Source organism: Homo sapiens, chromosome 19 (genome assembly GCF_000001405.40).
Source record: "Homo sapiens chromosome 19, GRCh38.p14 Primary Assembly".
In the NCBI taxonomy this organism is placed as follows: Eukaryota; Metazoa; Chordata; class Mammalia; order Primates; family Hominidae; genus Homo; species Homo sapiens.
The window spans coordinates 4,469,654-4,481,713 of NC_000019.10; the positions used below are offsets into that span (position 1 = coordinate 4,469,654).

General features: G+C 56.2%; 1 protein-coding gene across 7 annotated transcripts in view, besides 6 other annotated features; it reads left to right on the forward strand.

Annotated features, from left to right (window-relative positions):
- Window positions 1,290-1,459: an enhancer, noted in NCBI's record as "active region_13775". NCBI's record gives its function as "activates an Ori minimal core promoter by ATAC-STARR-seq in GM12878 lymphoblastoid cells {active_cell/tissue: GM12878}" and the evidence as "EXISTENCE:reporter gene assay evidence [ECO:0000049][PMID:35858748]".
- Window positions 1,720-2,069: an enhancer, noted in NCBI's record as "active region_13776". NCBI's record gives its function as "activates an Ori minimal core promoter by ATAC-STARR-seq in GM12878 lymphoblastoid cells {active_cell/tissue: GM12878}" and the evidence as "EXISTENCE:reporter gene assay evidence [ECO:0000049][PMID:35858748]".
- Window positions 2,570-2,749: a silencer, noted in NCBI's record as "silent region_9892". NCBI's record gives its function as "represses an Ori minimal core promoter by ATAC-STARR-seq in GM12878 lymphoblastoid cells {active_cell/tissue: GM12878}" and the evidence as "EXISTENCE:reporter gene assay evidence [ECO:0000049][PMID:35858748]".
- The window catches only part of HDGFL2 (HDGF like 2), a 29,911-nt gene continuing 20,494 nt past the window's right edge, over window positions 2,644-12,060 (forward strand). For 4 of the 7 annotated variants that reach the window (NM_001001520.3, NM_032631.4, XM_047439547.1 and 1 more), the window contains exons 1-3: window positions 2,644-2,769; window positions 5,622-5,698; window positions 5,792-5,930. In NM_001001520.3, coding sequence (NP_001001520.1) covers window positions 2,698-2,769; window positions 5,622-5,698; window positions 5,792-5,930 — 288 coding nt within the window. In that variant the 5' untranslated portion in view covers window positions 2,644-2,697. Of the gene's footprint in view, window positions 2,770-4,300; window positions 4,836-5,621; window positions 5,699-5,791; window positions 5,931-12,060 lie in introns of those variants that run through there. The other 3 variants (NM_001348169.2, XM_011528377.4, XM_011528376.4) reach the window with 1 other exon arrangement.
- Window positions 2,780-2,839: a silencer, noted in NCBI's record as "silent region_9893". NCBI's record gives its function as "represses an Ori minimal core promoter by ATAC-STARR-seq in GM12878 lymphoblastoid cells {active_cell/tissue: GM12878}" and the evidence as "EXISTENCE:reporter gene assay evidence [ECO:0000049][PMID:35858748]".
- Window positions 4,559-5,508: an enhancer, noted in NCBI's record as "H3K4me1 hESC enhancer chr19:4474209-4475158 (GRCh37/hg19 assembly coordinates)". NCBI's record gives its function as "activates a minimal SCP1, AML or CMV promoter by ChIP-STARR-seq in naive and primed H9 embryonic stem cells {active_cell/tissue: H9 hESC(naive and primed)}" and the evidence as "EXISTENCE:reporter gene assay evidence [ECO:0000049][PMID:30033119]".
- Window positions 4,861-5,000: an enhancer, noted in NCBI's record as "active region_13777". NCBI's record gives its function as "activates an Ori minimal core promoter by ATAC-STARR-seq in GM12878 lymphoblastoid cells {active_cell/tissue: GM12878}" and the evidence as "EXISTENCE:reporter gene assay evidence [ECO:0000049][PMID:35858748]".

Genomic DNA, 12,060 nt, shown 5'->3' on the forward strand with positions numbered 1-12,060 from the left:
CAGATCCCCCCAATAGTTTCCCAAGAAGTTAAAATAAAACCCAAACTTCTCATTTATGTTTGTAATGTATTGTGATAGGTCCTCTACGGACCCCTCCAGCCCTCCAGCTTTATCTGTTTCCCCTACTCACACACAGTCATCCTAGGATCAGATGGGTTTTTTGTTGTTGCTGTTGTTGTTCTTGTTTTTGCTTGTTTGCTTTTTCTTTTCTTTTCTTTTTTTTTTTGAATCAAAGTCTCGCTCTGTCACCCAGGCTGGAGTGCAGTGGCATGATCTTGGCTCACTGCAACCTCCGCTTCCCGGGTTCAAGTGATTCTCGTGCCTCAGCCTCCCGAGTAGCTGGAATTACAGGCGCCTGCCACCACGCCTGGCTAATTTTTTGTATTTTTAGTAGAGATGCGGTTTCACCATGTTGGCCAGGGTGGTCTCAAACTCCTGACTTCAAGTGATCTACCCGCCTCGGCCTCTCAAAGTGTTGGGATTACAGGCGTGAGCCACCGCGCCCGGTCTCGTTTGTTTTTTGCAACGGAGTCTCGCTCTGTCACCCAGGTTGTAGTGTAACGGCGTGATCTCGGCTCACTGCACCCTCCGCCTCCCAGGTTCAAGTGATTATCCTGCCTCAGCCTCCCAAGTAGCTAGGAGTATAGGCGCCCACCACCACGCCCGGCTAATTTTTGTATTTTTTCTAGAGATGGGATTTCACCATGTTGGCCAGGCTGGTCTCGTACTCCTGACCTTAAGTGAGGATCAGACGCTTGTTTTTGCTCTTCCCTCTGCTCCTCATGCCCTCCCAGGGCTCGCCTCACTATCATGTCCAACTTCTATTCATTCTCCCAGTGTCTGGTTAAACTCACTTCATCCAGTAACCCTCTGTGATCCCCCAGGAGAGAAGAAGTCGTCTCCATTATTCAGCTTTTTTTCCTCAAGCACCCTGGTTCATTTTAGTTCTTACCATGGATCCTAATTACAAAAAACAAAACAAAACACAGCAACATCAACAAATTTTAAAACTTAACATTTCTTGGCCCTGTTATACTTGATTCCTGGAAGGTAGAGTTTTGTTTTTTGTTTTTGTTTTTTTTTTGAGACAGAGTCTCGCGCTGTCGCCCAGGCTGGAGTGCAGTGGCACGATCTCGGCTCACTGCAAGCTCCGCCTCCCGGGGTCAGGCCATTCTCCTGCCTCAGCCTCCCTAGTAGCTGGGACTACAGGCGCCTGCCACCACGCCTAGCTATTTTTTTTGTATTTTTAGTCGAGACGGGGTTTCACTATGTTAGCCAGGATGGTCTCGATCTCCTGACCTCGTGATCCACCCACCTCGGCCTCCCAAAGTGCTGGGATTACAGGCGTGAGCCACCACGCCCTGCCGGAAGGTAGAGTTATAGCTTTTTTTTTTCTGCTCTGTCACCCAGTCTGGAGTGCAGTGGCGCGATCTCGGCTTACTGCAACCCCCCGCTCCTGGGTTCGAGTGATTCTCCTGCCTCAGCTTCCTGAGTAGCTGGTATAGGTGCGTGCCACCACGCCCAGCTAATTTTTGTATTTTTAGTAGAGACGGGGTTTCACCATGTTGGCCAGGCTTGGTCTCAAACTCCTGACCTCGTGATCCGCCCGCTTCGTCCTCTCAAAGTGCCGGGGTTACAGCCGTGAGCCATCGCGTCCGGCCGAGTTATAGCTTCTAATACTTCCTGTATTTCCTGTTGCCGGGCTCAGTCTAGAGCAGGGTCCTCACAATCATTATGGGCCCCATCTTCCAAGTGCAGAGAGCGAAGCCCAGGACAATCAAGTGACTCGGCCCCACGGTATTCAGTACATTTTTCTTGAATGAATGAATAGGTCTGTGTGGCGTTTTGGGGCCCTGGCATATAGTAGGTACTCAGTTAAGTTTTTAACTAAGTGAAGAAATAACTATTTTGTGCATTTTGTGGCTGTTTATACTAAGAGCTCCCCCGGAGCCTGCCCCTTCCTCTAAGTCCCGCCTCCTCGAGCTGGCAATCGCCCGTCCCTGTTTTATGTTGTATCGCTCTTCTTTCGATAGCCAATGGCCGACGTTCCCGCTGAAGCCCCGCCTCTTGTGATGGCCAATGCCTGCTCCCTACCTTGAGGCGCTTCTCTTGTGGTATCCAATGGCTTGCATATCTACTTTAAGCCTCTCCTCCTGAGCGGGAGAGGCTGTCAATGACCCGCCCATTGCGTTAAGTGATTGGCCTTCTTTTCTGCGGTATCCAATGTTCTGCCCTCCTTATATCCCCTTCTCTTGTGGAGGTCTATGTCCTGCCTCTTTCCCTTAAGCTCCACCCCTTCACTCCCTTAGAGCGTCTGTTCGTCTCCTCCCACCTTTCCCTTTCACCTCCCATAACCTCCCATTAGAGTCTCTGGGTTACGCCCCTTGGGTCTGTCCGTTATCCAATCCCGTTAACTGCTGTGCTCCAACCTCTGTTCTTATTGGTCGCCTCCCTTCTCTGTCCCCTGCACGTGGTCCTGATCGACGGCTTTGCCGGCCCGTGACGGCCGGAGGGCTGAACTTCCGTTGGCGCAACGCCCAATAAGCGCGCGTCGGCAGGCTGCCCAGACAGCCTCCCCCGCCCCCTCGGCGTCCCGCTCCCGCCCCCGGCTTCGCCTCCCGCTGCCGCCGCCGCCGCCGCCGCAGCCGCTACCGCCGCTGCAGCCGCTTTCCGCGGCCTGGGCCTCTCGCCGTCAGCATGCCACACGCCTTCAAGCCCGGGGACTTGGTGTTCGCTAAGATGAAGGGCTACCCTCACTGGCCTGCCAGGGTGAGGCCGCGCGGGAGATGGGGCCGGTGGGGGGGGGGGGGGGGGCAGCGGGGGCCCCGGGCCGGAGGCGGGCACTGGAGGGCCGGGGTTGTCCTGGGCCTGAAGGAGCTGCGCCCCGGGGGTCTGGGGTTCATGGGGTCTGGGGGTGTCCGAGACCCGCAGCGGCCCCGCCCTGGGGGTCTGGGGGTCCTGGGCCGCAGGGAGCTGCGCCCTAGGGGTCTGGGGTTGTCCGGGGCCTGCCGGAGCCGCGCCCCGGGGTCTAGGGATCCTGGGCCTCAGGGAGCCCCGCCCTCGGGGCCTGGGGGTCCTGGGCTGCAGGGAGCCGCGTTCTTGTGGTCTGGTGGTGTTCGGATCCTGCAGGACCCGCCGTCTGGGCCTGCAGGAGCCCCTCCCGGGGTCTGGGGGTCCTCGGCCTCAGGGAGCTGCGTCCTGGGGTTCTGGGGGTGTCCAAGCCCTGCAGGAGCCGCGCCCCGGGGTCTGGGGGCCCTGGGCCTCAGGGGGCCGCGCCTAGGGGTTCTGAGGGTGTCTGCGGCCTGAGAGACTCTCGCCCTTGGTGTATGAGGGTTTTGGGGCTCAGAGAGTCGCTCCCTGGGAGTCTGGGGGTATCCTGGGCCCGAGGGAGTCGCACCTTGGGGGTTTGGGGGTGTTTGGGGCCTGAAAGAGCCGCGCGCCGACGGTCTGGGGGTCCCGGGCCCGAGGAAGCGGTGCCCTGGGGGTCTGGGGCCTGATAAATTCTCACTCTGGGGGAATGGCGGTCCTGGACCTGAGGGAGCTGCGCCGTGGGGATCTGGGGGGTGTCCAGGGCCTGAAGGAGCTGCGGCGCCAATGGTCTGGGGGTCCTGGGCCTGAGGAAGCTGCGCTCTGGGGGTCTGGGGCTTCTGTGCCTGAGGGAGCTGCACCATGGGGATCTGGGGTTGCCCTGGCCCAGAGGGAGCCACGCCTCGTGTGTCTGGGGGTGTCCAGGGTGCCTCAGGGAGCCGTGCGCAGGGTGTCTGGGAGGGTCTGGGACCTGAGGGACCCTCACCTGAGGGCCTGGGGATCCCAGGCCTGAGGGCTCAAGGTTCAAGTTTGAGCAGAACTGCGGAACTTGAGATTTGGGGTCAGATATGGGGGCTGAAGCACTCCCTTGTGGGTCCTGGAGAAGCCCAGTTTTGAGGGGCTGGGGGGCCGAGGGCCATGTGCTAGGGGTCCAGGGTTGGAGGAGGCAGTCAGGGGGGAAGGTTGAGGGTCAAGGCTAAGGGAAGCTGGGACCTCTGAGTGAGGGGCTGGGGGTGGGGGAATGGGGCTCGGGGCTCTGTTCACGGGGTCACTGGGACTCGGGGAACTGGACCTTAGAATGAAGTTGGCATCGGGACTGTTGGGGGACCCTGGGGATTGGTCCCCTGTGGGGAGGAGGATGTAGAAGCTGGTTTTGGAGGGACTTGAGGGTGGGGTGGTCCAACCCCAATGCTTGAAATGGAGACAGGCCCGGGCCCAGGGAGTGGGAGCGCTTCTGAGGGAAGGGGGCTGGCCGAGGGGACCTTGGATGCCCCTTTGGTGGAAGCTGGGGTCCCGACGACCTGGATAGTCCCAGGTGTCCTGGCCTGAAGGATATTCCGCACCTTGGAGTCCCAGGTGTGGAGGGGGTGAGTTCCAGGCCCTGAGAGGTACAGGCCAGCGGGAAGCAGGGACCCCAGGCTATTGTCATCCCCAGGTCTTAGGGCTGAGTCTCCCAGGGCTGAGGTTGGTGGAATTTGCCGGGCAGGACTGAGGAATTTGGCACTGGGGGTGGAAGGCTGGGGCAGCAGGGAGGGGCTGTGGAGGGGGACACCAAACGGTGCTCTGGACCAGAACCAGCCCAGGTCCGAAGCTGGCAATGCCGCTGGGATGGGTGGGCCTCGGAGGACCGTGGGCGGGTCTTGGGAGAAGCGGGGCTGTGAGGCATGCCGGGCTGGTCCTCGGGTGGACTGAATTTAGGATGCTTCTGGCGGGAGAGGGATGCTGGGCCTGGCGGCCCATGGCCGAGCCCAGGGGCCAGGGACTCTGATAAAGTAGCTCTGAGGAGACCCAAGCGAGAAGGAAGCTGGGTGAGTGGGGCAGGGAAGATCGGGAGCCCCCTAGAAGCTGGAGACGTGGATGGGGAAGGAATGCATTGGGAGGGGAGAAGCCACTCCAGCCTGCTGTGCTCGCGCTGACTTTCTTGGGGGAGACCAGAGCAATGCAACTTTATAGGCACTTCCCTCCCTTTCCCAGCTCTCTTCTTCCCAGAGCACTCGCTTTTCTCTCCCCCGTCCCCCCTTCTCCAGCCTGCTCTCCTAGCCCCAAACGTTTCCAAGCACCTGATTGGAAGTGAAGGGGCTGTTAGTCTCCTGTGGGGAGGTGACTGACAGCTGCCGGAGCCCATGGGCCTGCAGGGAGAGGGTGGGACTTCCTGGATGCTCAGGGCCGTTTCTTGTAGCCCACCCCCCACCCTCTGCATCCTTGGAGCTGCCAGCTGCATCCTCTGGGGGACCGCCCGTGAGCCCCTCTTTGCGGGAGGGGTCCCCAGGAAAGGTCCTGGGAGTCCATAGACGCTGAGCTTGGCCCCACCCCCTGGTTGCTTCAGAGGGCCGGATCTGGCTTTGCTCAGGTGGAGCACCTGCCCTGGGGCCAGCTCCGTCCCTGGGGTAGGGGGAGAGCTCTCTGGGTGGGGCACAGCTTTGCAGTGAAGGGTACACAGAAGAATGCAGCTTCCCATCGGGAAGGGGCTGCTGCTTCCTGGGTTGAAGGCTCCCCTCCTCCCAGCGTGATTTGCCCCAAGTAACTTGGCTGATTTCTCGGTGATTTCCTGGGTCAGTGGGTAAAGCCACCCCCTCACTGGCCTCTCACTGCAGATCGACGACATCGCGGATGGCGCCGTGAAGCCCCCACCCAACAAGTACCCCATCTTTTTCTTTGGCACACACGAAACGTAAGTGTCCCCTTCTGGGGCTTGGTTTTCTCCTCTGGTGCCTCCCGGGGTGGCCTCACTCACCTGGGACTGGCCCCCGTTTCCCTTCTCCAGAGCCTTCCTGGGACCCAAGGACCTGTTCCCCTACGACAAATGTAAAGACAAGTACGGGAAGCCCAACAAGAGGAAAGGCTTCAATGAAGGGCTGTGGGAGATCCAGAACAACCCCCACGCCAGCTACAGCGCCCCTCCGGTGAGTACCCGGGGTGGAGAGCCAGTGTGAAGCGCGCTACTGATGCAAGAAGGGGCCTCCAGTTAGGGTCTCTCCCCTGGGCACTGTGGACACATGGGGCTCGATCGTTCCCTGTGGTGGGGCATTCTGGGCCCTGCAGGTGCTGAGCAGTGTCCCTGGCCTCCACCTACTCAGTGCCAAGGCCACCCCCACCCCATTCATGGTGATGACAGATGTCCCCAGTCATTGCCCAGTGTCCCCTGGGTGGAGGGGAACGGGATAGAATCAGCCCTGGCGAGAACCCCTGCTGTAGAATCAGTCCAAGTTTCTTTTTTTTTTTTTTTTGAGACAGAGTCTCGCTCTGTTGTCCAGGATGGAGTGCAGTGGCGCGATCTCGGCTCACTGCAAGCTCCGCCTCCTGTATTCCCGCCATTCTCCTGCCTCAGCCTCCTGAGTAGCTGGGACTACAGGTGCCCGCCACCACACCCGGCTAATTTTTTTGTATTTTTAATAGAGACAGGGTTTCACTGTGTTAGCCAGGATGGTCTCAATCTCCTGACTTCGTGATCCACCCGCCTCAGCCTCCCAAAGTGCTGGGATTACAGGCATGAGCCACTGTGCCCAGCCTTTTTTTTTTTTTTTTTTTTTTGAGACAGAGTCTTGCTCTGTTGCCCAGGCTGGAGTGCAATGGCGTGATCTCAGCTCACTGCAACCTCTGCCTCCGGGTCCAACTGACTCTGCTGCCTCAGACGCCCGAGTTGCTGGGATTACAGGTGCCCACCACCACACCCAGCTAATTTTTGTATTTTTGGTAGAGACAGGGTTTCACCATGTTGGCCAGGCTGGTCTCGAACTCCTGAACTCAGATGATCCACCCGCCTCGGCCTCCCAAAGTGTTGGGGTTGCAGGGGTGAGCCACTGCGCTTGGCCAGCCCGAATTTCTAACAGAGTGTTATCATAGCTCTCATAAAACCTTTTATTTTCTTAGGAAAAGACGTTTTTTTCTTTTGAGAAGAGCCCCCTCTTTCACTGTTACTGCCAGATTTTAGAGGAGTGAAAAGTCTGTAGTGTGTAGATGTGAGCGTTCTCAGTCAGGTGGAAAAAAACACCAAGAATCAGATGACATCTCATTGGCAAATGAGTGTCTGGAAATAGTCAGGGAAAGGAAGGAATTTAGAAAAGCGGAAGGCAAATGGCTAAAAGGCAGTGGAAGGATGGGAGAAAGGTGCCTTACTCTGAGTATTCTGGGGTGAGGTGGGGAGTGGGGGAACTGGGCTGGGGTTCTTTCCTCTGCTTTAACCACACTGCTTTTGAGGTTTCTGTGACAGGCTGGGGGCCGGGGTTAGTAGCCCAGGCTTAGCTGGGGGGGCATGAATTTGGCGGGGAGGCCCAGGGAACTGACCACAAGCTAGGGAAAACTTGGCCATTAAGGAAGAAAAGCACATCCGAGGTGGTCTGAGTGGAGCAAGGCAGGAGGGGCCCAGCCTTTGGCTTTTGCGAGTGGAGGATGCAGTCTCTTTGTGGTTCCTGGTCCTGTTTGAGAACCTGGGGTCTTGAGGTGGCCTGTCTGTGCCTCTCCTTTGTTTCGGCCTGGGCTGGGTGGTGCTTGTGAGCATTTGCTCCAGGATCCGCAGACGTTTCGGTGGTGACACCTGCCACGCACACGTGCCGCACTGGGGACCAGGAACAGGGATGAGTCAGGCACAGTCCTTGCCTTCTGGGAGCTCATGGTCCAGAATTGAGGATTCACTCAACGGATGTCCCTTGAGCGCCGAGGATCTGGCAGCCCCTTCTCAGGGGGCCGGGGCCCACCGATGTTGCATGCTGAGGGTATTTTACTTTAACACCCATGGTGTGTCTAGGAGACTGAGGTTTCCCTGGTTTCATACTTGCTATCTTTCCTCACGCTGTGCCTGTCCCCAGCCTGGAAGGATAGGTCAGAAATCCTTCAAGGTAGCTGTTTCAGGAGATCTTTTTCTGGCCCCAGGTCAAGTTCTCTTTGGTTCCGTCCTGAGCTCATTACCTCCTGGTGAATCATCACACCATTTAATATTTATTGGACACCTACAGCTTGCTAAGCATTATATAGAGGCCTGTCTTTGAGGAAAGGAAATTAAACAAGCCCTGTACAGATCCCCCAAGATGAGAAGTAGCTTTAGTTGAGGCCACTGCTGCTCTTAGCTTCTCTGGCCCATCTATGCTTCTAGATGGAACGTGTGTTTAAGATGCAGATTCCTGGCTGGGCACTGTGGCTCACACCTGTAATCCCAGCACTTTGGGAGGCTGTGGCTGGTGGATCACGAAGTCAGGAGTTCAAGACCAGCTTGGCCAAGATGGTGAAACCCAGTATCTACTAAAAATACAAAAATTAGCTGGGCGTGGTGGCAGGCGCCTATAATCCCAGCTACTCGGGAGGCTGAGGCAGGAGAATTGCTTCAACGCGGGAGGGAGAAGTTGCAGTGAGCCAGGATTGTGCCACTGTACTCCAGCCTGGGCAACAGAACGAGACTCTGTCTCAAAAAAAAAAAAAAAAAAGATGCAGATTCCTGGGCCATTTTCCTAGAGGCATAGATTTAATTGTGTAAGATGGGAGCCCTGAAGTTTTTCTTGCCAAGTTTTGTCCCGGATGCTGCTGTTTTTTTTTTTTTGTTTTTTGTTTTGATGGAGTCTCGCTCTGTCGCCCAGGCTGGAGTGCAGTGGTGTGGTCTTGGCTAATTGCAACCTCCGCCTCCCGGGTTCAAGCGATTCTCCTGCCTCAGCCTCCCGAGTAGCTGGGACTATGGGCGCCCACTACCATGCCTGGCTAATTTTGTATTTTTAGTAGAGACGATGTTTCACCATGTTGGTCAGGCTGGTCTTGAACTCCTGACCTCAGGTAATCCGCCCACCTTGGCCTCCAAAGTGCTGGGATTACAGGTGTGAGCCACCACACCCAGCCCAGGCTCATTCTTTTAACAGCCTTAGCGCAACTACTAATGCCACCAAGAGCGGACAGGAAGGCCTGGGTCCCATCCCCTTGCGAAGCCAGTAGGTGAAACATGGCAGCTTGGCCTGGTTCCACTTGCATCGCCTTTTGGTCCTCACAGTAATCCTCAGAGTGGCCCAGGTGGGTAGTTGGTTGGTTGGTTTTTTTTTTTCAGACGGTGTCTCACTCTCTCGCCCAGGCTGGAGTGCAGTGGTGCGACCTCGGCTCACTGCAACCTCTGTCTCCTGGGTTTAAGTGATTCTTCTTCTGCCTCAGCCTCCCAAGTAGCTGGGACTACAGGCATGTGCCACCACGCCCGGCTAATTTTTTGTATTTTTAGTAGAGACGGGTTTCACCATATTGACCAGGCTGGTCTCGAACTCCTGACCTCATGATCTGCCCGCCTCAGCCTCCCAAAGTGCTGGGATTACAGGCGTGAGCCACCGCGCCCAACAGCGGGAAGTATTTTTTCCATTGAGTAGATGAGCAGAATGAGACTCAAGGGGTTGCTCAGATGGGCCAGGCATGGTGGCTCACGCCTGTAACCTCAGCACTGTGGGAGGCCAAGGGGGCAGATCACTTCAGGTCAGGAGTTCCAGACCAGCCTGTTCAACATGGCGAAACCCCATTCTACCAAAACTACAAAGATTAGCCGGGCTCACGCCTGAAATCCCAGCACTTTGGGAGACTGAGGAGGGGTCACCTGAGGTCAGGATGTCAAGATCAGACTGGCCAACAGAATGAAACCCTGTCTCTACAAAAATACAAAAATTAGGCCGGGTGCCGTGGCTCATGCCTGTAATCCCAGCACTTTGGGAGGCCGAGGCGGGCAGATCACAAGGTCAGGTGATCGAGACCATCCTGGCTAACTTGGTGAAACCCTGTCTCTACTAAAAAAAAAATACAGAAAGTTAGCCGGGCGTGGCACCTGTAGTCCCAGCTACTCTGGAGGCTGAAGCAGGAGAATGGCATGAACCCGGGAGGCGGAGCTTGCAGTGAGCTGAGCTCCCACCACTGCACTCCAGCCTGGGCGACACAGCGAGATTCCATCTAAAAAAAAAAAAAAAGAAAGAAAGAAACCCCGCCTCTACCCAAACTACAAAAATTAGCCACGCTTACACCTGTAATCCCAGCACTTTGGGAGGCCAAGAGGGTGGGTCACCTGAGGTCAGGAGGTCAGACCAGCCTGGCCAACACAGTGAAACCCTGCCTCTACAAAAATATAAAAATTACCCAGATGTGGTGGTGGGCACCTGTAATCCCAGCTACTCTACAGGCTGAGGCCGGGGAATCTCTTGAACCCGGGAGGCGGAAGTTGCAGTGAGCTGAGATGCTGCCACTGCACTCCAGCCTGGGCGACAGAATGAGACTCTGTCTAAAAAAAAAAAAAAAAAAAAATTTGCTTAGATGCCCAGAGGGACCCAGCTGGTGTCTGAAGCCTTGTAGACCCAGGCCACGGTTTCTCAGCATCAGTACCTTATAAGAGAGTATAGCAGTGACAGTTGGGGCCAGGTCATTCTCTGGCATAGGGTCTGTCCTGGGCATTGCAGGGTGTTGAGCAGCATCTCTGGCCTCTGCTCACTCCATGCAAGGAGCGCCCACTGGTAATCTTGATGACCAAAATGTCTCTAGACATTTGACCTAGAAGGATCCCACCTAATACATCCTTGTTGCTTGGTAGATGAAGAGGTAGAGAGACCTGTCCAGGGTTCTCAAGCTTGTGAGCAACAGAGCTGAGCTGGGGTCAGAAACCAGGGCCCCCAGCTTGCAGGTCCCCCAACTCCCAGATCCCCTGACTCCCTGGCCCCCCAGCTCCCAGGCTGGCATTCTTTTCCTTCTGGCTGGTACAAGCCAGGGGCAGGCCCTGGAGGATGGGAGTCCCGGGGAATAACCTCTTAGAAGTGGGAGTTGGGAGGCGTAGTGGCTCACACCTGTAATCCCAGCACTTTGGGAGGCCGAGGCAGGTGGATCACCTGAGGTCAGGAGTTTGAGATCAGCCTGGCCAATGGGGTGAAACCCCATCTCTACTAAAAATGCAAAAATTAGCTGGGCATGGCGGTGGGTGCCTGTGATCCCAGCTACTCGGGAGGCTGAGGCAGGACAATCACTTGAACTTGGGAGGTGGAGGTTGCAGTGGGCTGAGATTGTGCCATTGTACTCCAGCCTGGGGGATAGAGTGAGACTCCGTCTCAAAAAAAAAGTGGGAGCTGGGGCCAAGAGCCTGTTGTATGAGCGGGTGGACCTGGGAGCCAGGCCTGGCTCTGCCCTGTGCTCACTGTGAATCTTGACCATTGACATCCCCTCTGTGAGCCTCAGTTTCCTTATTTTTTATTATTTTTTATTTTTTTAGACTGAGTCTCACTCTGTTGCCCAGGCTGGAGTGCAGTGGCATGATCTTGGCTCACTGCAACCTCCACCTCCCGGGTTCAAGCTATTCTCCTGCTTTGGCCTCCCTAGTAGGTGGGATTACGGGCATCCACCACCAAACCCGGCTAATTTTTTTTTTTTTTTGAGACAAGAGTCTCACTCTGTCGCCCAGGCTGGAGTGCAGTGGTGCGGTCTCTGCTCACTACAAGCTCCGCCTCCTGGGTTCACGCTATTCTCCTGCCTCAGCCTCCCGAGTAGCTGGGACTACAGGCGTCCCCCACCACGCCTGGCTAATTTTTTTTTTTTTTTTTTTTGTGATGGAGTCTTGCTCTGTCGCCCAGGCTGGAGTGCAGTGGCGCGATCTTGGCTCACTGCAACCTCCACCTCCTTGATTCATGCTATTCTCCTGCCTCAGCCTCCCGAGTAGCTGGGACTACAGGCGCCCGCCACCACTCCTGGCTAATTTTTTATATTTTTAGTAGAGACGGGGTTTCACCATGTTAGCCAGGATGGTCTCGATCTCCCGACCTCGTGATCCGCCCGCCTCGGCCTCTCAAAGTGCTGGGATTACAGGCTTGAGCCACCGCGCCCGGCCTTAATTTTTTGTATTTTTAGTAGAGACGGGGTTTCACCATGTTATCCAGGATGGTCTCGATCTCCTGACCTTGTGATCCACCCAACTCGGCATCCCAAAGTGCTGGGATTACAGGCTTGAGCCACCGCGCCCGGCCAATTTTTGTATTTTTTAGTAGAGATTTCACTATGTTGGCCAGGCTGGTCTCGAACTCTTGACCTCAGGCAGTCCTCCTTCCTTGGCCT